The sequence below is a fragment of the Homo sapiens genome, chromosome 5 (assembly GCF_000001405.40).
Source record: "Homo sapiens chromosome 5, GRCh38.p14 Primary Assembly".
In the NCBI taxonomy this organism is placed as follows: domain Eukaryota; kingdom Metazoa; phylum Chordata; class Mammalia; order Primates; family Hominidae; genus Homo; species Homo sapiens.
In genome coordinates this window covers 136,050,549-136,074,857 of record NC_000005.10, presented here as the reverse complement: position 1 = coordinate 136,074,857, position 24,309 = coordinate 136,050,549, and the positions used below count along the sequence as shown (strand labels likewise).

The window sequence follows — 24,309 nt, the reverse complement described above, 5'->3', positions numbered from 1 at the left end:
TCTCTGTGTGTTGTTGCTGAATGCACACCCTCTCATTGGCCTCCCAAGGTAGTGGTTAAAAGAACCTAGAGTCAGAGTTGAGTTAGAATCCTGACTTCATCACTTATATAACAAAGCTTCCTTGGGTAAATTCCTGTCTTAGTTCAAGCCTCTGTAACAAAAATATCATAGGTTGGGTGGCTTAAACAACAGAAATTTATTTCTCACAGTTCCGCAGGCAAGGAAGTGCAAGATCAAGGTGCTGGCCAATTCGGTTTCTGGTAAGGGCCCTCTTCCTGAAGTGTGGATGGCTGCCTTCTTGCTGTAGCCTCACTTGGTGGAGGGAGGAAGCAAGCTCTCTCCACTATTCTTATAAGGACACTAATCCTATCAAGAAGACTCCACCCTCATCACCTAAGTACCTCCCAGATGCCCCATCTCCAAACACCATCACAGTGAGGATTACATTTTCAACATAAGAATTGTAGACACAGACATTCAGTCCATAGAGATTACTCAATCTCTCTGAGCCTCAGTTTTCTCCTCTGTAAACTGGAAACAAACATTATAACAAATGAGAACGTGAGTGTAAACTAGTGAGAATGAGGCTTTGTACAAACCAGGCCTTCAATAAGCAGTGGCTTTGATTGGAGGGTGTGAGGCGATCCAGGGCCCTTTGTTACACAGTCTCTCTCTCTCTCTCTCCAGCCAGCCCTAGAGCCACCCTTGACTGCTTTGGAGCAGAAATTTGAAGCCTTCAATACGTTAAAATGCAAAAGTGGACACTTACTCCCAGAAGACCCTGTGGAATCTCACAGGCCCAGCTGATGGTGATCACAGTTTGTCAGTCAATGTCATCCTGGTGTGTGTGGATGTCCTCAGGATGTCAGCTAGCTTGTCAGGGCAGAAGCCCAGGAACGCATGTGGTAGAAGGTGCAACCAGAGCCCCAGGGGAGTTCTGTACCCTAGCTCTCGGCAGGTGCCTGTGGGTCTGGGACAGTTTTAGGGCTGGGGAATCCCCCTGATTCCTAAGGGCCTTTTTCTTCACAGTAATGCCTCACAGGGCCTGGCCCTGATGCCTAGGCCCAGAGACCCCTCTTGGCCCAGGACTCAGACTTTCCATATACTCAGAGGTCTCTGCAGAGGCAGAGTGAAGAAAATGAAACAAAATTTGCAGGTTTATTCCCAAATATGATTTTTCTTAAGAATATAGTAAGAAACATGACAAAGGGCATTTCCACTGGTTTAAAGGCCTATATTAGTTTTCTACTGTTGCCTAACAAGTTACTACAAATTTAGTGGCTTAAAACAATACCCATCAATTATTTCATAATTCTGTAAAGTCAGAATTCTGGGTGGACTCAACCAGATTCTCTACTCAGGGTCTCACAGGCATAGTGACAGCAGGTCTCCTCTCTGGAGGAGCGAGAGGAGACTCCCTCTCCGAACTAATTTAGGTTAGTGGAGAATCCAGTTCCTTGCAGCTGAAGGTCCAAGGTCCCCATTCCCTCACTGGCTGTCGGCCTGAGGCTGCCTGCATTCTTTTTTCTCATGCCCCTCTTTCTTCAAACCAGCAACTTTGTACCAAGTCCTTCTCAGGCTTCAAATGTCTCTGATTTCCACCTCTGCCACCAGCCAGAGAGAAAAGGCTTTGCTTAAAAGGCTGCTATTTGATTGGGCCCACCTGGATAATCTCCTTTTTGCTATCAACAGAGTAACACTGTGGGGCAAAAGTCATGGTGGCCATCTTAAAATTCTGCTTACCACAATACCTATTTTCTTTTTATTTTGAAACTTATAGCACAATAGGGGAAGATTGCAATATATTATATATGCTCATGTTTTCCTCAAACACAGTATCTGAAAGAATCTGCTCCAGTGATTTGATAATGGTTTACTTTTTTCTTTCTGCTTGCCTATACTTTCTAAAACTTCCACAAGGAGAAAGTGTCAATTTTGTAAAAAGAAAAAAGTTATCTTCAAAAGCAAAGAGATCTGACTGTATGAGATATTAAAAGATACTAAATTAACACCAATTTACGTGGTGTGGTCCAGGTGCAAGCACAGTTATGTAGATCAAAGGAACAGATATTGTAGCCCAGAGACACAAGCTGATAGGAATAATGAAACATATCTCCAAGAAGGCAGAACAATGTAATGAATAGGCAAATAATTGATACATTTCTGACGGTAGAATAAAAATTTCTATGTGAAATTAATTCATTAAGACCCTGAATTTCCATCTTAGAGGAAATGAAATTCAAGTTGAATTTGAAAGTTAAAAATAACACAATAGAAACATTAGGAAATAAAACTAAATTCACACATACAATTTTTCTAAAATCTCGTTAGAAAGATGACAAAAGGACTTTTATTTTTAATCATTCAGCTGTGTAAATTCTATGATCTTCAAACAAAGAGATAGGCTATTGATAAATGTGTTTGAAGATTTCCTTCCTGGTTGAGTTCTCTCGAGTATGTAAATAATAAACCATAAAGAAGGTGCTTCCATGTTAAGTTCTCAGGGTTTCCCAGCCCATGGATTCTCTGATACTGAAACAGTTTTGCCTGTGGAGTAAATGTCGTCTACATTGCTGACATCACAGCGTTTCTCCTCTGCAGCATACTTTACTAAGCGAATCAGTGCCGTGAGCTCTGAGGGCCTTTCCACAGCACACCTGACTATGGCTCTTCTCTTTTCTCTCTTGCTGTTAGGCTGCCACTGCGCCATTGGGGGACAGCCCCTATGCCCTGTTGCAGGCAAAGAAACTGGGCTGCAGTTGGATGCCCTACTTGTTCTATGCTTATGCATGACCTACTGTGTGCAATGTCTAAGCTTGATGCTTTGAAGGTAGAGGACTTGTTGACTGCACACAAGAAGCACATAGTACTGTGCATGCAAGAAGCACATAGGTCTGTATGAAATGTATTTTGAATAGGGGCTTGATATGGTTTGGCTGTGTCCCCACCCAAATCTCATCTTGAATTGTAGTTACCATAATCCCCACATGTCACGGGAGGAAGCCAGTGAGGTAATTGAATCATGGGGTTAGGTTTTTCCTGTTCTATTCTCATGATAGTTAATAGGTGTCACTTGATCTGTTGCTTTTATAAAGGGCAGTTCCACTGCACACGCTCTCTTTGTCTGCTGCCATGTAAGACTTGCCTTTGTTCCTCCTATACCTTCTGCCATGATTATGAGGCCTCCCCAGCCATGTGGAACTGTGAGTCCATTAAACCTCTTTTTCTTCATAATTTACCCAGTCTTGGATATTTCTTCACAGCAGTATGAAAATGGAGTAATACAGAGCTCGAGGGACAGTGGTCATCAAAATCGTGTGTATTGTAGATACCTGTGCATTTTTCTGAGGAGAGGGTCCACGGCTTTTATCAGGAGTCCCTGGCCTAAGGAAGATTAGGAATCCTGTTCTAGTCTAAAAGTGAATAGGATCTGATTGTAGGTGATTCCTCTCAAAGCAGGGCTGGGATTTGAGGCTACATCTTCGCTGTTCAAAGACCACGTTCTTCCTTAGTTCTCAGGCATCACTGAACAACTGAGGACCCAGGAGTGCTTATTCCTATACCCCTTCTTTTCTCCTCCCTCCACTGTAGGAGGGACCAAGCCTTCTTCACTCCAAAGCTGGCTGAAAACAGCCCCTCTAGCAGGGCTTTTTCCCTCACCCTCCGATTCTGGAAGCCCAACTGAGAGCGGTCATCAGGGAAAGGTCCCTGCGTGCAGATGGCTTCCTTGAACTTGAATTATTCATAAGCTGTTGCCAAGAAGCCGCAGGGACTCACCCGCCCCACTGACAGGAGAAGAGAGTAGTTTTCCATCTGTTCACTCAAAAACTCATTTCCGCCCAAATGAGGACATTTAATCATAAGTCTTTCCCCTCTGTCTCTGCTACTCCCAAATCTCAGACTTTCTTCTAATAGAATTAGGATCCTGGGAATGGGGAAAAACCCTCCAAGCATGAAACTTCCTCCCCAGAAGGGTTAGAGGGTGGAGTCACCTGCTAAAGATGAAGCAGCCTTTCTGCAGTGTGACTCATCAGCCATTTACCTGTTCTCTGGGCCCAGATGTTCTCTCTGAGTTGGGGCCTGCTGACCCAGGGGTGACCTTTCTCAGTTAGGGAGTCTTAGCCAGAGGGGACCGAGGCACACATAGCTGGGCAGGAGGCTTCCCTGGGGATGGTGATGCTCATAAGCCACCCTGCTTTCCTGAGAAGACCCGAGGAGAGCTCTGGTTGCAGGCTTCCTCCAGCCCACATGCGTGAGAGACCCCAGAAGGATACCTCAAGGGTCTGGAGAAGCCTCCTCTTCCTTTTTTAGAGAGCAACAGGGGCCTGAGCCCACCTTGTTGACTGAAGGAGCCATTTGTTCTCTGGAAACACACCTTGTTGACTGAAGGAGCCATTTGTTCTCTGGAAACCAGGCTCTGAGATAACACTTTTTGAATACGTACTGTGTGCCAGGCCCTATGCTAGGCACTGGGCGGAGGAGTCCCTACATACCTTTGAGCAGCTCACCTCCTAGCAGGGAAGGCCAAACAAGAAGTAGGGAATTAACCCAAATAAGTCCTTAGGGCTATGGCGGCACATGTACGGGGGTTTAGAAGAAAGAGCTGCTGATCTGACATGAAGGGTAAGACTGAACAAGTAGACTTCCAGGTTTTCATATGCCTGTGGGGTTCTCAATCCCTGAAAAATGGCATCCATTCAAGCACTCACAGCAGAAAATGTATCCTTCTCTCCTGCCCCCTTTCCTCCCAGCCCAGAGTCAGTCCTCTCATCTCCCCCGAGAATGCTCTTGCCGTGGTTCCTGATGACATGCACATGGCTAAACCCATCGGACACATCAATAATTCATCTGAGTTGATGCTTGTCCTTAAAAGGCTATCCTTCCTCAACTTCCAGGATTCCATACACATATTATCAGACCCCTTTGCAGGTTTTTCTTCCTCTTCCAGATCTCCAAATGCTGGAGCTACCCAAGGCTCTGTCTCAGGCTCTCTTCTCTCTCTACACTCTCTCCCTGGGAGATCACATCCAGTCACTCTTTTTAAATAGCACCTATATGTACTAACTCCCCAACACTCCATCTCAGCTTAGACCTCTTCCTTGACTCTAGGTTTGAATATCTAACAGCTTTTTTTAACATCTCACTTGGATTTTTAATTGGCTTTCCAAACTTAAACTATCCAAAGGAGACTCTTAGTCTTTTTTTTTTTTTTTACCAGTAGCTTCTTCCCTGCTCTGAATTTTAGGAAAAAAAAATGGCATAACCCTTTAGCTGGCTGTTTAAGGCAAAAACCTTGGTACCGTTCTTGAATCCTCCCTTTCTCTCATGTTCCTCCTCCAACCCCTATTCTAGTCCTATCTGTTCTACCTCCAAAATATGTCTCAAGTTCCTCTGTGTCCTTCCATCTCTAGTGCCACCACCCTGGTCCTCCATCATGTCTTGCCTGGATGACTGTAACGGCCTCCTAATTGGCTTCCCAGCTGCTACTCCTACCCTCCACTTCAACCCACTTTCCACACAAAAACCAAAACAATCATTTAAAAACATATTTAACAATTAAGAAGACAATTCTATGTATAATAGCATCACAAAGTATAAAACACTTAAGAATCAATGTAGCAAAGGATATGAAAGACTTGTACACTGAACACTGCAAAAAATTGTTGAGATAAATTAGAGAAGACACAAATAAATGGAAAGACATCCCATGTTCATGAATTGGAAGACTTACTATTATTAAAATGTCAATAGTACTCAAAGTGATCTGCAGATTCAATATAATCCATATCAAAATCCTAATGATATATTTGGCAGACAGAAAAAAATCTACCCTAAAATTCATACAAAATCTCAAGGAATTTCCAATAGCCACAACAATTTTGAAAAAGAAGAACAAAGTTGAAGGACTCATACTTACTAATTTTAAAACTTACGCCAAGGCTACAATAATCAAAACAGTGTGGTACTGGCATAAAGACTGACATACAGACCAATGGCATAGAGTAGAGAGCCCAGAAATAAACCCTTGCCTGTATGGTCAAATAATTTTCAACAAGGGTGCTGAGATCATTCAATGGAGAAAGGACAATCTTTTCCCAGCACTGGGTAGCCACGTGGAAAATGGGGTAGCCACATGGAAAACTGGGTAGCCACATGGAAAAGAATGAAGTTGGGCCCTTTCCTTATTTCATATACAAAAATGAACTAAAAATGAATAAAAGGCCTACATGTAAGAACTAAAATTCTTAGAAGAAAACAGGAGAAAAGCTTCATGACATTAAATTTGGCAATGATTTCTTGGACATGACACCAAAAGCACAGGCAATAAAAGAATAAATAAATATTGTGAACTTCATCTAAATTAAAGATGTTTATGCATCAAAGGACACTGTCAACAGAGTAAAGAGGCAACCCACAGAATGGGAGAAAATATTTGAAAATCATATATCTGATAAGGAATCAATATCAGAATACATAAAGAACTCCTAAAATGTAATAACTAAAAAAGAAAAAAAAATTTTTTAAATGGGCAAAGGAATCAAATAGACATTTCTCCAAAGAAGAAATATAAATGACCAATAAGCACATGAAAAGAGGCTCAACATCACTAATCATTAAAAAACAAAACAAAATCAAAACCACAATGAAACATCACTTCACATTCAATAGAATGGTTATTACCAAAAACCAGAAAATAACAAGTATTAGAGAGGATGTGGAGCAACTGGAATCCTTGTGCACTGTTGGGGGGAATGTGACATAGTGCAGCCACAATGGAAACACTATAGCAATTCCCCCCCCTCCCAAATTAAAAATAGAATTACCATATGATTTATCAATTCGACTTCTGGGTATAACCAAACTAATTTAAAAGAGGGACCAAACTAATTTAAAACAGGGACTCTGACAGACATCTGTACACCCACATTCATTGCACCGTTATTCACAAGAGCCAGAAGGTAGAAACAAGCCTAATGTACATCAAAAGATGAGTGAATAAACAAAGTGAGTGGTATATATATGCAATGGAATATTATTCAGCCTCAAAAATGGAGGAAATTCTGACACACACTACAACATGGATAAGCCTTGAAGATATTATGCTAAGTGAAATAAGCCAGTCGCAAAGAACAAATACTGATTCCACTTACATGAAATACCTAGAGAACTCCAATTCATAGAGACAGAAAATAGAACAGAGATTATCAAGGGCAGAAGGGAAGGGAGAATGGGTAGTTAATGTTTAATGGAACAGATCAGTTTTGCAAGATGAAGAGATTGGTTGCACAACAATGGGAAATGTACTGAATACCACTGAATTGTATACTTAAAATAGTTGAAGTGGTAAATTCTATGCCATGTATATTTTACTAAATATAAAATATATATCTGATCATTGCACACCCCTCTCTATCTCCCTCCCCCAACTAAAACCCTCCAGTGGCTTCTCATTGTCTTAAGGATAATGTCTAAAATTCTTAATACTAATTATGATAGTACTTAGCCTATGAGGCCCAGTACAGTCTAGCTCCCAAACCTCTCACCAGAGGAATTGTCTCTCTTCTCTCTAGCCACACAAAACTCTCTCACATTTTCTCAGAGCCTTTATGACACTGTTCTTCAGACTGAATTCTCTTCCCCACCCTCTTCATTCTTCAGGTCTCAGTGACCTCCATCGCCTCCCCAAGTGATGGGGAGCTCCAGCACTGCAGGGACTGTTAGGGCCTGCATGGGTGACAGGGTGTAGCAGCTCCAGGGAGCCTCCTCTAACAGGCCTGAGGCCAGAGCTCCAGCTGCTGCCTTCCACCTCCAGGTCCTGGAGTCCTCTCCCCAACCACAAGTGGGTGTGCTGTGCCTGTTTTCTCTGCCTAAGGCTGTGTCTTCGGTTTCCCATGCAGGGGTGTGTGTGCATGCATGCATGTGTGTGTGTGTGTGTGTGTGTGTGTGTTTGTGTGTGTGAATGAATGTGCGTGTGTATAGAGGTTGTCCCAGACTCCTCCCCTCTCCACCCACCACTTATTCTCTGGGCTGGCTCTCTGGCTTTCTGGAATGGATGAGTTTCTTTCCCTGCCAGATAGGGATGGCCCAAGGTGGCCTCATTTGACTTCTCTGGACAGGGCTTCGGGCCCATCCCTCATTCCATGACTTTCTCTCCTGGCTTTGAAAAGAGTTCTGAGCATAATATTCCAGGCATCTCTTCTAAGAGCATAACACTGAATTATGCTTTCAAGCACAGAGGTATTTTCCTCTCTTTTTTTCCAGACATGAGTTCTGGGGCACTCGTGGCTATTGCTAATTCTTAATGCCCTGGCACCATAGAAACAAGTTATGTTCTAGGCTGTGCAAGCAGAGACCTGGCCTGCAGGGGCTTCTCTGGAGGGTAGGGGGTTTTGAGCCCTTCTGACCACCTGGCATTCATGTCTGCTTGTCCATGGCTGCCTTGACTACCCCTCCTGGCCTCTGGTATAGTTGAGCAGAAGGGAGAAGCGTGGTTAAGAATGGCTGGATTTGTGTTTCAGCCTCTTCTTATTCTGTGACCTGGCAAACTACTTTAGCTCTCTAAGCTTCTATTTCTGCAGCAGTAAAATGAGAATTTTAATAGTACTTACCTGTGTCATAGTATCAGTGCAAGTAATAGAAAAAATAATGCACATAGGTGCATAGCCCAATACAGCAGGCCTCTCTGGCCCCATGGCTGAGCTGGCCTCTCAGTTGGCCAATGTGGCCAGGTTTAGGCCACCCCTGTCCCCTGTGTGGGAAAGGCATACCCCATCCTGGGAGGCCTCAGGGCCCAATGCTGAGGGTCTTTGCAGTCCTCTCTACATCCCAGAAAGCTTTGTATTCCCAGAGTGACAGCAAAGACAGAAGTGGACTAAGAAGAGCCCATTCCCCTTCTTCCTCTCCTTCCATTTCCTTGGTTGGGGCTCAGTGGTCAGGGCTCAGGCAAGGCCTGGGCAACCTCCTTCTAGCTTGGGCTACCCTCTGGCCTTCTGATGGGGTGAGGCACACCTCCCTCCCCAAAATCACCCACCCCTGGAAACACACAGTGCTGGCCCCTCAGCTCTAAGGGTCCATCCTCCAGATGGCAGCCCTAATGAATGCTTAGCCCGAGTCTTCATGAGAAAAGAAGGGGTATGGATGGTTAGGAACCAAAAAAGGGAATCTGACCTTCTTTGGTGGGAGGGGAAGGCTGCGCCTTGTCCTCAACCACAGGGAGGATTTCTCTCCAGGGAGAGTTTGGAGCATAGAGTGGAGCCCACATTACTAGGGGGTGGGGCAAAGTCAGGGCAGGGAGTGGCAGGGACAAATGAAGGGGAGAACTGGAAACACACATCTTAGTGTTTGGCATTTATAATGGATCCTGTAGTGATTTTTACTTTAAATTTAAGGGTCTTTAAAACTTATGCTGATCACCTCTTTGGTTTCCGAGGTCATCTTGGTAAAGTGCAGTGTGTGTATTTTAGGTGCTCAAAGTGAAGCATAGCATAGGATACCCAGCATGAGCAAGGCCCTCACTAGCCGCCCAAGCCCGCATGGCTGCAGGGGAGGTGGGAACAGCAGGACAGAGCTATGGGAGAGTGACGGGAACTGAATTCACACCCAAGGTTAAGCCTTACCTCTCAGGACACCTTCTCCCTTGGTCCCCTAGCCTGATGCCTTCACCTTCAGGTAAGTTCCTTCCATTCCTCTCATCTCTTCCCACTTCTGGGAGCTCCTGGGCATTCCTGCTTCCAAATCCTTCATTATCTGTCACAGAACCACAGTGCTATCCTCAGAGTCACTAAGAACACACAGGCTGTAGTGCCATTATCTGGTTGACAATTCTCTTCCCCCCCATCAGTAGAGAAGCCTCATGAGAATGACATGTCTATTCCCCAGGGTCTAACATGGGGGTGCACATAGGTAGCCCTCAACAAATATTTGTGGAACCAATGGATGAATGATTTTAATGGATTGATGTCATATCTCTCTTTCCTCAGACTGGAAGCTATTTAAGAGAGGGCCTCTGTCTGCCACTACCATTGCTGTATTCCCAGCAGCAGTGGACTGACCAGCAGTAGTGCTGGGGATATATCTTTGGGTCATTGGTTCCATGAAGTGAAATGAGCTCCGCCTGCTGGAGTGAATCAGCCTTGGCAGAGATGGGTGTGGGTGGGAAGGAGGTCTGTCCCATTCTCTAGGAAAGTGGGCCAGCCCACCTGTGGGAAAGACACAAATAAAGGCTCTCTGGCGCATTGATCCTGAGCAGTCCCAGACGGCAGGATAAAAATAAGGCCACCTAATGTTGTACCAAGCATTTTATATAGATCATCTCATTTCATCCTCACGATGGACCCATGAAGTAGATGTGACGGTCATCTCCCTATTACAGAAGAGGAGACCCTGGGAGGTCACATGACTGGCCCCAGGCCACACAGGTAGGGGGCAATGGCACCACAACCACATGATATCACCTCTCAGAGTCCTGAGGATATTCTAGATGCCAGAGATTACGGGAGCCGGGGAAGGAATCTGAATGTGGGTTGGCACAGAGGGGATGGGCCTGGAAAACCTGGACTTATGCTGTTGTCAGTGGTGGTCACTGAGAGTCAGGAGGTGTGAGTTCCAGTCCCAGCTCAGCTATTTTACGTGCTGCTGGTGGTTCTCCCTTCCCTGGGCCTTGGTCTCCTCATCTGCATAATGGGATTATGCTGGCAACCACTTCACAGGTTGGTGCTGAGGACTCAAAAGTCCAGCACACAGGCAGGGGATCACCATGCTGGAGGGAAGGTACTTCCAAGTAATAAGAGGAATAAAGTGCGGGGTGAAGGCAACACTGAAAACTTGAAACCCCAGGACCGGAGGAGGGTGAAATAAAAACCTGTTTGGCAAAGACAGGCTCAAACCCCCATGAGCTGTCTGGCTGTCTGAGGGCTGGCTGCTGGAATCTCCCCAAAACCATCCCTCGGGGCTCCTTTCTGAGCTTCTCCAGAGCAGAATTGAGGTGTGGAGGAGCATGACGGCCTCAGGTCAGCACACTGTACCATGCACACAGGACGTATGTTTCTTTGGTTTTATTATTACAAACACACCATGGCTCTGTCACAATAGGGAAATCTAAGCTCTACATACCATTTCTTTTCTACCTGGACAGGGCCCCATAAAAGCCTCCAAGCCACGTGTAGATGTGAGACACATTTGACAGAACATTTCAACTCATAGCTTATAATGATGCCATTTCTCCAGCTGTGCAAGGGCTTTACAAAAACTGTGCCAGGACTTCCCATGAGGCTGGATTGCTTGATTCATGTTTTATGAGCCCCACAATACTGAAGCTCCTTTTCCAGGGACTTGGCATAGGCAGTCAATTCCACATTTGGGATAGGTCCTCTCTGGAAGTGAATGTCAGGCAGTGACATCCAAGTTTCTGCATGCAGTGGGTTAACAGCCATGTTTAGGGGGAACATGATTTAAAAAGTACATCTCTCTCCCTCCTCCCCCACATGCACAAGGCTCACATCTCATTATGGTGCGGCCCATGTACATTAAAGTGTGATACTTGGTTTTGAAAACATTCAAACAGTCTCTGTGGAAATCTGAGAGAAATTGGCGGAGAGCTGCCGTGGTGCATTCCTCCTGTAGTGCTTCAAGCTAATGCTTCATCCTCTCTAATAACTTTTGATAGACAGGGGCTGAAAAAGAGAAGTTGGTAACGTCAAATAGGTGCAGATCTCCCCATGTCTGTCTAGGACACTGTCAGAATCTCAAGGACCAGGGCCAAGCAGCCTCCTTCTGCCATGCTCTCCTGCACATAGCAGGTGCTTTGTGGTTTGTGAAACTTCACTCTTTACTCAAGGCCCGATGTTCTGGTTTTCTGTACCTATCAACTTGGAACTAGATCCTCACCATGGGTTCCTGCCAAGCCCTTTGCAATATTCCCAGACTTCCTAAGCTGAAAACTCACCTTAACCCTAAAAGGTTGTTACTCTTATTATCCTCATCTTACAGAGAAGGAAATGGGGTGCTCTGGGTCTGACCCCAAGTCACCCTGCTGTTCTGACTCCAAAGGCCAGGCTTCTTTTACTGCACCATGATGTTCTTATCTATATACAGCAGATGGCAGGCTTGGGCTTGCTTGGGGGTAAGGCCTAAACAGGTCTGCAATGACTTCAAACCCAGACCAGACTCACCTAGTCGCACAGACCTCTGGGAAGCCTGAAAGAAAACACAAGGTGTCAGGTTTTCTAGTGAAAGTTATACCTGCAACTGCTTATGACAATGGCTTTGCCCATTGCCACCCCTACTCAGAAAAAATGCTGGGGCGAGGAAGAGGAAGGGGAAGGTGGAACTTATAGGCACCAGGGAGTTCCTCAGGTGGCCTTGGCAGACATAAGTTGTGCAAGCCCCTATCAAGTGTGCCTTCAGGTGGACATTCCTAGGAGACCCCCAAGCCAGGCTTTCCCACTGAGACTACAGCCTAGAGTTGAGGGAGCTGGGGCTGCACAGAGGTGGCCTCAGGAGTAGAAGCTCAGGGCCAAGAATCCTTCTCGAGGGCACTAAGGAGACCCCTGTGTACAAAAGTAAAGTGACACAGTAAGCTCCAGGCCTCTGGGTTTAGGATGGCTCCCTGCAGCCTCTCCTCTTGAAGTGCAATCTTTCTGTAAGGCACTTCACATTCCCAAGAGGCTCCACCTGACCCGAAGTAGCAAAAGAGCCAAGTGGGGCACTGAGCACTGGGCAAGCTGGGGAGCAGGAAAGGAAGCTCAGAAAGAGCCAGAGAGGGTTTGAGAGGGAGGTGGGGCTGGGGCAAGGAAGGGATGGCTCCACACACATAGCGAGCCCAGTATCCCTGTATCCAGAATACATACAGTGCCCAGGAGAGCCCCAGCCTCACCCAGGATGGGCAATGCCATGGACAGCAGAAGAGTGACCCAGAGGCCCCGGCTCAGGGCAGGCCTGGCCACTGTAAGATGAACTTGGGATGGGCTGCCCTCTTGGGCAGATGGCTTCCAGAGCTATGTCTGTTCTCTCCAGCAGTGACTTCCCCATGATCTGAGGCTCAGAGGCCTCGGTGTGAAAGCCTGCGCTTTGGCCCATGAAAGCCAGGGAGTTGCCTTGGTTCTTTACTCTGAATTTGACACAGGCTGGGGCTGAGGATGCCTCAGTGGGAGTGGGGAGAAGTTTTAAGAGAGCCCTGGGGAGCAGCCAAGGAAGACAGGGGCTGGAGAGGCTCCTCTATGGCCCAAACAGAGGACCTGAGGCTGCTCAGGCTAGGCGCAAACCTAGCAGGCATCTTACCCTGGAAAACGCTGATGCTTGTTTGAAGATCTCAAGCGCAGAGTCTGCAAGTTCATCCCCTCTTTCCTGAGGTCTGTTGGCTGAAGAGGAAAGAAAAGGCAGGTTTGACCAGAGTGAAACCATTAGCATGTCATTCATAACAACCGTGACTGAGGGGCACTGGTGGGCTTTCTGGCTCACATTTCCAAAGACATGTTTTCTCCATAATGTTTCATAACTCATGGTAGAACTTGGCCCATGGGGAGAGAGCACCAAGAAAGGTGAATGCACACATGAGGAGAGGCAGGACTGAGGTTCAACTGCACTGGAGGCAAGGAACATACACTGAGGTGAGATGCTGTAAGAGGAGTGCTGGGAATCGCGCGGACAGCATCCACGCGAATACAGAAAACTGGGCTGTGTCCGAGGGGAGCTAATATAGCTGGGCAACTCCGCAAAGAGCAATGTGTCCTCACATTCCTTAGTGTGGTGCATTCAAAACCAACAGCTCCCAATTCACTCTGCAATCAGTCACATAGGCACAGTTTAACTATCACAATTACATGTTATTCTCATCATTGTTTAGAACAGTTTTTCTTCTCTCCACCAACTGCCACATGAAGAAAAGGACTGGCTGCAGAGTCAGTGGGGATGCGACACTTACCTGGAGGCTGCAGAACATTGGTGATGACATGGACCACGCCATTTGTGGCCATGATGTCAGGCTCGGCAACAGGCTCCTTGTTGACACTCACCACATTGTTTTTCTAAAAGAAAAACAGAGTAGTGGTTGAAAGTAGAGCATTTATTTATACATTTATATATTTATTTTATTCATTCAGCAAGTGTTTACTGAACAGTTTTCGTTTTTTTCCTTGTTCTTTGTTTTTGAGATGGAGTTTCAATCTTGTCGCCCAGGCTGGAGTGCAGTGGCATGATCTCGACTCACTGCAACCTCCGCCTCCTGGGTTCAAGTGATTCTCCTGCCTCAGCCTCCAGAGTAGCTGTGATTACAGGCATGTGCCACCACGCCCAGCTAATTTTGTATTTTTAGTAGAGATGTGGTTTCACCACGTTGGCCAGGCTGGACTTGAACTCCTGACCTCAGATGATCCGCCCACTTTGGCCTCCCAAAGTGCTGGGATTACAGGCATGAGCCACTGCACCCGGCCTACTGAACACTTTTCATATGCCAAGTCCTGTGTTAGACTGGGGATACTCTGGTGAATGAAACAGTCCCTGCCCTTGACAGACCTTCAGTGTGGTGGATTAATTCAAATCTCCTGTGTGGATTTAGCACTTTGCAATTTACATAATGCTTTTTTGTGTGATCCACTCAGTCCTCACAGCAGTGTATGATAAGGAGAGTAGATATTATTGTCCCATTCCACAGAAGAGGAGACTGAGACTGAGACTGAAGACAGGCGAAGTGCCTCTTTTAAGCTAAGTAGGTGGAACAGCTGGAAATGGAAGACAGGCTTCCTGCTCTGGGCAAAAGGCTCTTTCCATTTTGCCTGGGTGCCTCACTTAAGATTTTCTCATAGGAGGCCCACCCAGGGCAAATCTATCTCAGGCCTTCCTGAAGGGCCATGTGACAAACTCAAGGGGGTAGGAGGCACAGAAGCCTGTGACAGACAGGACCCCAGCATCTGAAACCAGGTGCGAGGAGATTCTTGAATGACCTGCTAAAGTCAAACAAGTCATCCCCGTGCCTACCTCCCTACATGCATATCTTCCTATGCTCCTCGTGAGAAACTGGTGAGCAATGGATGGCTGAAGACCAAGAGAGAGGAGCAGAGAGTAGAAGCCAGCCACACACTGAAGAGCGGTCCCTCCACAGAGGGGTCAGTGGCCTCTGCAGGTGCAGCCAGGGAGATTTCTGGAGCTCGGCTGGCTATCTGCTTTAGGAACACTCTTAGTGCAGTTACAAAGTTATATCATCAATGTGCAGAGCAAGGGAAGGCTCACAGAGCAAGTGTCAGAACTCAAAAAGCCTCTTGGGATGGTCTGGTTCATGGTACAACTCAGTGAAGCCCTGGGTTTGGGGGGTGGGATGGTGTGAGTACAGACTGATCTCTTCAGTCACATAACTAGTTGCCTACAACCTCCTTAAGAGAAGGAAGATCTAATAGCCTCTCTCAGATGCCAAATCAGATGCTCTATTCCCTTGTAAATCTGGAAGTTCTTACTCATGTCTAACTATGATCTCACTTGATTTCCCTGAAGACCCTCTTCTCTTTTCTCTTTTTCTTTGGACGAATTACACTCAGAGATTCGGGCTGCAACTTGAAGGTTGTGTGTGTATAATTCCATCCTGGGGGTGAGATATGTCCTGGAGCCCTGCCCTGGGGAAATTTAGCCAGCCTTTGATTTGCAGGACACTTACCAAGCTGACTTCCAGCTTGTCACCTTGGAGAGACTTTAGCCGCACCAGGGCCCCGATGCCTCCGCTAACCAGGATTTCATCACCAATGTGGTATTTCAGGATGTTGGCAAGTTCCTTGGCATCTCCTGCAGGTTGCGGGAAAAGGAGATAGAGTTAATCCCAAGAATGGTAATTAGCCTGGTCAAGGAGGGCCCAGAGGAGAAGATGTAAGTGGTCACCCCTGAAATGAAGAACTCCCTGCCCAGGGAATAAGCACTTATTAAGCTCCCACTGTATACTCAACGTTGTGACCCACAATCTGTCTAATGGTCAGAGGACACAAAGCACATGTTCATGACCACAAATCTGCCCCAGCAGTCAGTTGGCCTCTGGGTTAAATATGCTGTCTGGGATGCTGGGCTCCCTGGCTGCTGAGAAGGAGTTAATCCATACTCCTCTGTGAGTATGACTCATGTTTCCATGAGATAAATATTTGCTTGGAAAGCCAGGGACCTTTCCAGCACCGGCATCTGGGACGTTTCATCATCAGCATGGCTCCTGACGGTTATAACACAGTAGTGCAATATTTACACATTCTGCCCTCAAATGCACATTCTGTTTGAGATGGCTATTTCCTGAAGGGAGAACTTAAAAGAGTAGACAGCTGTACTGTGGAGGAGCCATGGAGCCGATGAGGTCAGGGCTGAGGGGGATATTCCCTCCGCAGCATCTCTCCTCGTCACGTCTCAGCATTCCTTTCAGCCCACATCAGTGTCTCCAGCAACTGGGGCAGGCATCTGGTTGCCCATAAAGGTGCAGAGGCATTTCCCAAATTAAGTGTGGGAGGTCATTCCGAAAGTTTCCAGCTGCCCTCTCATCTCGGATACTCCCATTACCAGCCAAAGGGCTAAATTTCCCCAGGGCTTATGAACAGCTATTTCCAGCATCTTGAAACTGAGAAGGGAGGAAGTTTTAACTTATTTTGGAGAGTTCACTTGGTTATTGACAAATCCACATGCCTGCCAGAGGATGGAGCCACTGGGTACCAACTGATTTTCAAACATCCACAACCTGGAGCTGACAAGGTTCCCCTTCCACAAAATATTGCCTGGAAGTACAGAGCCACACCAGCCCCTGGGGTGCATGGGATGTCCTTTCAATATCTCTAACACCTGTACCAACCTCTAACACTCTCTGTCCCCCAGGGGTGCCTCAGGCCTGGGGGAGGGTGTGTTTGGGAAGCTTTTCCCATCCCCCTCCTCAACTCCCACATAATTGAAAACAAAAAGAAAGCCAAGCTGGCTCAGGCCACTTGGGGAATATTCCATTCTTGCTGGACAGAGAGAGGATGAAAAGTTTATGTTCAGAATGAACTTCTCCCCTCTCCTTAGGAACATACGTCAGCATCACAGACACAGGCATTCATTTAGCAATAAAGAAAATTAAACAGGACACGAATTCAACTTAGAGCTGCCTGCAACCTGAACTTTCTATTCTGCTCTAGAGCAGGAAGGGAGGTGTAGACAATGTGGGCCCCAAGGTTTGTCAAGGTCCTTCCTCTTCCTCCTCCTTTTCCTTGGTCTCATCTTTCTGTGAGAGTGGAAGCATCTCTCACAGGCATGCATCTGAGCTAAACACTGCAACTCCCATTCCTGCTCCCCCCGCCCCCATCGTCATGGCTATTACTGACCAGGCTGTCTGCCTGGCCCTGTGTGTGGCATCCTATTTAATCCTCCCAACACAGGCTGCAAGATACTCTTACCTTCCTCATTTTTCTTAGCCACCCGTAACCACTAGATCCCCTGCCAAACATCCTCAACTAGATCTCTCAGAGCCATGACTAACTTCTTGGGAAAGCTTTTGTCTGGAGGGATAGTCAGTGCAGGTAACTGGCTTTATTATCACTGTGCTCATAGGTCTCCAGTGGGAAACGTGCCTCAGTGACTGGGCTGGTCGCAGCCACCCTTAATTCTTTTCTACTCCTCTCTGCCCGGTTTCCTGCCCAGGAGGCTGAGCTCTATGAACTGCATCAGTGGGCTCCCTCCTGCTCTCGCATCAGCCAACAAGAGACCCAGATGGCAACTGTCTGAGAGGGAGGCTGGGGCGCTGAGTGGTCCCCCTTGCATGGTTCTGACAGTGGCTGGCTGCACATGGCTCTGGCTGCTGTTCTGTGCCCTTGTCCAAGGCTCATGACCTCCCTGGTTCCTGCTCTCATCCTCCCATTCCCCCAGGCCTAGGGGTAGTAAAGGCTTCCCAGGGTTGCTAGTCCCTGGTTGGCCTCATCCTTTGCTAGTTCCTTTAGTCCCGCCCACTCTTTCACTAATAGTCTTGTCATAAAATCCCTTCAAGTCAATCCTTGATGTGCCAACTGTTTGCTGCTGGGGCCCTGAGGGATCACTACTTTAGAAAAATGGAGACGTGTACTTAAGTTGGTCTTTACCCAAGAGTCTGCTCCGTTCTCTTGGTGGCAGGGCTCGGAAGGCTTCATTTGTGGGAGCAAAGACTGTGTAGACTCCTTCCCGGTTGAGGGTCTCCGTCAGTCCTGCAGACTGGATGGCAGCTACCAGCATGCTGTAGATACACACACAGAAAATGTCACCTGTCAACAGGTATTTTCCTTAAATACCTCACCACGCTGAGAGGTATTTTCCTTAAATACCTCACCACTGAGGATAGTAGAGTCCAGGCCACTGGAATGCACACACCTTGGTTTTCATGCCCTCCGTATGCACAAAGAGGGAGTGATTCCAGGCTCCAGCTCTCTCCACCCAGCAAAAATGCTAAGCTCTGTTAAATGGCCAGACGTCAGAGGCCACAGGAGAAAGGAGGGAAAAGAAAGGGCAGAGGTATGGCTGACCCAGAGACTAGCTGAGCCTCCAGGGATATGATTCTGGGAGGGCAGAGGGGTGTGGTCTCCAAGCCCTTGTGCAGGTGGCTGAAGTCAGTGACAGGGAAACATTCAATATGACAGCACCCCAAGGTGAATGAGCAAGTCAGAAATGGAGATAGCCGGGCAAGAAAACAAACTCACAAGGGTGCTTCAGTTGCAATAAACAGATACTGCGCAGAGAGTGAGAGGCTCATCGTGCACTGTAAACTATGTGCTCTTGGCTCACTTGGAGCTTTACAATGAGAGGGTGATGTTTTCCTTGCACTTCAGTCATAAAAATGTAGTCCCCCCTCCCTGCTTCCCATGCATGTGAAGATTACACTCTTAGAAGTAACCCTTCTTCCCAATGTAAGCTTTCAAGGCGACCCTTGCCTTTTCCCCATCCCAAGTCTGGAAGGTCGCAGCAGTGCACTGCTAGTGTTAATTGAATCCCCAAGGTAGAAGAAAGCTTGACAAATAGCTGGGGCCCCACATCCCACTCCAGCATGACCACTGGGCAGAAGCTCCACCCGGGGATGGAACTAATTACCTAAAGCGATTGTCTCCCTTCAGGACATCCATGACAGTCCCCATTGGGGGGGTCAGCACCCGGTCCATCGTGAACAGGGTCCCGTACCTCCCCCTCTTGTCGTGGGCCGCGATGCAGCTGTTCTCAATGCAGAGGCTCTGCACAGAAGAGGGACAGAGAAAGAAAGGACTGGTTATACTTCCACGAGGGGCCTCCTGATTTGTTCAGAGCATGTAGCAGGGTCATTATCCATGAAGATGAAGGAGTATACACTGGGATGGGTTATTAAGGCTGGGATAAAATGATGTATTTTCTCCAGGAAATAAAACAATAAATGGTCTTCCTTAAGGAAAGAACGGTTAGAGAGGCCCCAATAAAGTCACACAGAGGTCCCATAATGAGAATATCAGTTACACATGAGGTCCATTGACAATGTTGAAATAAATACGTTGAACCCATTTATTTATTTCTTTGTTTAACAGATGATAACCATCTTTAGCCAAATGGTGCTGGTTGGTCCCAGGCAAGAGCTATGTTGAGTTGTACTTCCTTTTTGATTTCCAGGGTAACTGTTGGGTTTGAAAACAAAGAAGATACAGCAGAAGAGAGAAGGCACCTTTTGGACCAAGGAGGGCTGTATTTTAGTTTAGGGGGCTTCTCTTCTCATAAGCTCAGAAAGAGTCTGAACTCCATCCCTCCTCCCAGGTGTTAATTCCTGAATTCAAGAAGGACTTATTCCTTCACAATACAGGTTGGATAATTGTGTGGTTTATTCTCAAAGGCCTCCAGAAAAAGAGATTCCAATCCTTCTGCAGGATCTCATTTTGTTATCTATATTTTCCAGAAATTATTTCCTTCCTTGTCAGCAACCAGTTCTCATGCAAACTCCTGCTTATTGAGGACATTTTTTTTTACACTAATACAAGTCCCACAGTAAGGAGCTTCCCAGGAGCATGATTTAGGACCCAGAACTTACATTACGATAAACAAAAACTCTCAGTTTTTTGCCGCCCAGAGTTTCCAGGGTCTGTCCATGGTACAGATACTTAGAGGCCAGCTGGTCTTTAATTATGTGGTTCCGAAGCAAATTCCTTGTATGGGCATCAATTGGAGGGGTTCCATCTACAAGAAAGGGTGATGGTTAGGTCCAGAGAGATGTGCTCCTGCAATGAAGAGAGTGATGAGAGATAAATACAGTGAAAAAGCCCATCCCTCCTTGAGTTTGGAAACAGGGATTGAGAAACCAAGTGAAGCTGCCAATATTCCTTAACATCTGGTATCTTCTATGGAGAATTAAAGAAGATCCAGATAATCAAGGGTGTTTGGAGTTTTGCCCTAAGAGGGAAGGGCAGGCACGCACACAACTTGGCCCCCTTCTCTGCCTTCCTGGGGCTGCAGCTCAGCTGTACCCTCACTCTGACCTCTTGACTATACATTGGCAAGTGACCCTGCAAATAGAAAGGCAAGGGAATGCTCTGCTCTCCCAGATGTCAAGTCTTGAGTTCTGAGGAACGGCTGCCTCCCAGATGTCAAGTCTTGAGTTCTGAGGAACGGCTCCCCAAAGGCATTCTCTGCACTGCCTAATGAAACAACAGAGCCTCTGAAGTTTCTGCTGAAGTCACATCTGCTTTTGGTTGAGCTGAGTGGAAGTTCTAATGTCCCATGGGGTGCTGTAAATCGGAGAGTGTTGTGGAGGTGACAGGGGTGGGGAAGCTGCCTCCAGGGACAATCTAACAGGGATGCCTTCCCCATGTTACCTTTGAATACAGAATTCAGGGGAGCCAGGAGGGTCAACCGCTCACTTCCAGAGAGATGATTGCCGAGGCCGGCTTGTCTGAAAAGGTCAATGGCTGTGGACACATCAGACTCTGCAGCCAATTCAAATAGTGTCTTGGCTACAAGGAAGGAGAAAGTGGGTTCAAAAGTTAAAAGCGCTGTTTTCATTTATCATTCATCCACCCCAGGGCATGACACACATCAGCAGGAATGTCATCTCGTGAGTCAACAACCCCTCTAAACACTGCTGGGGCCCAGCGGGCTTGTGTCATCAGGGGAACAGTCACCTAGAAAATCTAACCAGTCAGGAGGAGAGGGAGGAGAGGTGAGCTCAGTTAGGCAGAGATCAGCCTCTGTCCCAGGCCCTGTGGGCTGCTTGGTCAGGGCACATTCTAACAATGGGAAGAAAGACAGTCTGTGTGATGGCTTCTGTGGTGTAGATAAGGCCAGCAACCACACCCATAGAAGCATTTTGTTTTTTCCTGTGAGATTCCTTCACTCATGGACAGATCTCACTGGAAGACTAGAATGGGGCTAGGATTCCTAATGAGACACAAGCCAAAGTCCATTCAGTCATTCTAACTGGGTCAGTGACCATGGGACAGCTTGGGCACTACTGAGAAAGCACATGCTCTGAGGTCAGCAAGTGGCCCTCTTTGCCCATGCACAGCAGGCAGATCTTCTGAAAGGCCTCTGTGATTGAGTCTGTCCCCAGACCCCTTCAATAGCTCCCCACTGCCTCTCCACTGCACTTGCAAGCCTGAAGCTCAAGACACATCAGTCTGGTCACAACCCACACATTTGCAGTGGCCGAGAAGCTGTGAGCTGGGTCCAGGCAGGGAAGTCGCCCAAAGATCTCTGAATTTCCCCTCCCCCGCCACAAAGGATGGCAGAAGAGATGGTGGGCCAGGCAGGGCCAAGGCCCCCGGAGGCCTGGCCTACCTGAGTCTGGGATGAGTAGCTCATCAATGTAGTGGATCACCCCGTTGGTGGCTAGGATGTCTTTATTGGAGATGATCGCCTTCCCGTTGATAGTGAGCATGTCCCCGCTGCAGCCCACCTCCAGTGTCGTGCCCTCCAGGGTCTCTACAGACAGCCCCGCAACGATGGCTTCAGCACACATAGCTGACTTCAAGATGTGGTTGTTCAGCAGGTCTGGGGTCCAAACAGACTCAGGTCAAGTCAGGGTCCACTCCACGATAACCTCAGGGACCACTTGCAGCCTGCCCATGCTGTGAGGATCCTGTTCTCTCAGATGAGGACCCTCAGATGAGGCTGGGGCACCACAGGGCCCAGATCCTCCTCGCCTTCTGCCTGCTGCCCTAGAAAACCAGCTGGGGCCCTGTGGCCACTTTCCAGCTGTGGGACCCTGGGAGAGTCATTTAGCCTCTTTGAACCTCAACTTCCTTATCAGTCAAGTGGACATAAGAATTGCATTCATCTCCTAGGGCTGCTGTGGGGATGACATGAAATTCTGAACCTAAAGCACTCGGCACGGGGCCTGACAACAGAGTAAATGCTCAACAAATGTTAGTGATTAGCTTATTTGTAGCTGAACTTCAGGGATACAAGAAAAACTCAAGAGAGCCTACCACGGGATTTTAGAAATCTACTCACCTTTATAAAAATGTAAACTGTAGTAGGAAAAGACGAAAAGTGTACAAATGACAGCTTTGAGTTATTTGTGTACACTTTATTTGTCCAGTTTTCTGTTCATTTAGCCCAAGGGTCTACTAGCTGCCAGGATATATCTTAAGGTTTGGTGATCAGTAAGACTTGGCCTTTGCCATCCCATTCACCACACCCATAAATAGTAAGTATAATAATTTATTTGCTTATCCAAGTGCTACTTTAGGGGGCAGGGCAGGGCTGAGGCCCAAAGGGGGCTCCTGACCCATCGTGACTCCTGCTGGTCTCCATTGCCTCGGAGAGCCCAGACAGGCTGGATGGAGGCAAATGCAAGGACCAGTCAAGGAGGAGGAGCCCCCCCCAACCCCAGGCTGAGCAGGTGGCCTGGACTGCTGCTCACCAAGGTCACCGAGGCTCTATGTCCCATATTCTCACCACGGAGGCGAGTTTCAATCTGATCCCAAGTGTGGGAACCAAAACCACACTGTCATAGGCAGGAGGAAGCTCTGAGGCCCTGCAAGGCATGGGGCTGCTGCAGACGAGTTGATGGCCTTGGAAGCCCGTGCTGGCCACATTCAGCCAGAGGGAAAGAAAAAGGGTGAGAAGGCCTATGGGAATGAGGCCTTGGGGATTGAGCTTCTTAGAGAAGGAAGGTGAAGTCCACGATGTGGTAGAGGAACCTGCCAGGGCCACTTGGAGGGTGAGCAGGGCCAGGGCTGGAAACTAGTCTTCAAACTGGACACACCACCAGCCCTGGCTGCTTCTCGCCTGCCTGCCTGCCAACCTGCCGGTAACAGCAGGAGACTGTTGGGTGTGGGGCAAGGACCTCTTCCTTCCAGTCTGCAGCGATGGCACCAAACAGAGTGTCCTTGCTCTGAACCAGCTGGTTAGTGAGTAGGAAAAGGCAGATTTGCAAAAGGGACGAAGTAGGGGCCTTTTTTTTCTTACAGTTTATAATAAGGAGTTTTTTTTGTTTTGTTTTGTTTTGTTTTGTTTTTTTCTTTTGAGAGAGTCTAGCTTTGTTGCCCAGGCTGGAGTGCAGTGGCATGATCTGGGCTTATTGCAACTTCTGCCTCCCAGGTTCAAGTGATTCTCCTACCTCAGCCTCCTGAGTAGCTGGGATTACAGGTGGCCACCACCACACCCAGCTAATTTTTGTATTTTTAGTAGAGACGGGGTTTTACCATGTTGGCCAGGCTGGTCTTGAACTCTCAGCCTCAAGTGATCTGCCCGCCTTGGCTTCCCAAAGTGCTGGGATTATAACCATGCCCGGCCTATAGTAAGGAGTTCTGAGGTCTCCAAAGCAAAGAATGTGCTCTGTGCAAATCATGTTTTAATAGGGAATACAGTTCTAAAAGCCTTTGGGCCCCTTAAGGCTATGTGTGTCCCAATGCCCGCCCTCATTCCCCATTTTGTGCTGTGAGTATCTCTGTCATTGCACTCACCAAATCAGATCCCAACAACCTGTTTTAAAGCCTGCCATTTCTACTAGGTCTTAAGTTTCTTGGAGGCAAAGGCTGTGCTGTATTCATTTTCATGGCCTCTGTCCCCAGTGCCGGCCAGGCGCATAGAGGTACCATAATCACCTGGACACGGAACAAATCCCGTCTTCCCATCTGTGCTTTCAGAAATATGCCCTTTCCCATCCCTGCACAGATAGAAGGAGAACACTTTAAATGTATAGATGTATAGGGTGTCTGAAATGCATTAGACATTTTATATAGCACATTGACACGGTGGGTTTAAATAGATTCAAAAGAAATCAAGTGATCCTGGAATATGTTTGAGAGGAAAAGTGTGGTGGGGTACATCAGAGACCTGGGGCGTACCCTGCATTTCAGGGGACTCAGGCAGCAGCTTTGTGCTCATGGCCTTTCAGAGGTC

General features: G+C 47.3%; 1 protein-coding gene across 1 annotated transcript in view, besides 2 other annotated features; it reads right to left on the bottom strand.

The window, feature by feature from the left end:
* The window catches only part of TGFBI (transforming growth factor beta induced), a 34,831-nt gene continuing 21,561 nt past the window's right edge, over positions 11,040-24,309 (bottom strand). Inside the window, exons 8-17 of the mRNA NM_000358.3 lie at positions 21,739-21,951; positions 20,778-20,915; positions 19,997-20,142; positions 19,042-19,178; positions 18,063-18,193; positions 15,644-15,768; positions 13,922-14,024; positions 13,279-13,358; positions 12,171-12,195; positions 11,040-11,672 (exon numbers count right to left, since the gene is read on the bottom strand). Coding sequence (NP_000349.1) covers positions 11,632-11,672; positions 12,171-12,195; positions 13,279-13,358; positions 13,922-14,024; positions 15,644-15,768; positions 18,063-18,193; positions 19,042-19,178; positions 19,997-20,142; positions 20,778-20,915; positions 21,739-21,951 — 1,139 coding nt within the window. The 3' untranslated portion in view covers positions 11,040-11,631. The remainder of the gene's footprint in view (positions 11,673-12,170; positions 12,196-13,278; positions 13,359-13,921; positions 14,025-15,643; positions 15,769-18,062; positions 18,194-19,041; positions 19,179-19,996; positions 20,143-20,777; positions 20,916-21,738; positions 21,952-24,309) is intronic.
* Positions 12,081-12,180: a silencer, noted in NCBI's record as "silent region_16378". NCBI's record gives its function as "represses an Ori minimal core promoter by ATAC-STARR-seq in GM12878 lymphoblastoid cells {active_cell/tissue: GM12878}" and the evidence as "EXISTENCE:reporter gene assay evidence [ECO:0000049][PMID:35858748]".
* Positions 20,427-21,626: an enhancer, noted in NCBI's record as "P300/CBP strongly-dependent group 1 enhancer chr5:135388921-135390120 (GRCh37/hg19 assembly coordinates)". NCBI's record gives its function as "activates an origin of replication core promoter dependent on BRD2, BRD4, P300/CBP, MED14 and CDK7 cofactors, with strong dependence on P300/CBP, by STARR-seq in HCT116 cells {active_cell/tissue: HCT116}" and the evidence as "EXISTENCE:reporter gene assay evidence [ECO:0000049][PMID:35650434]".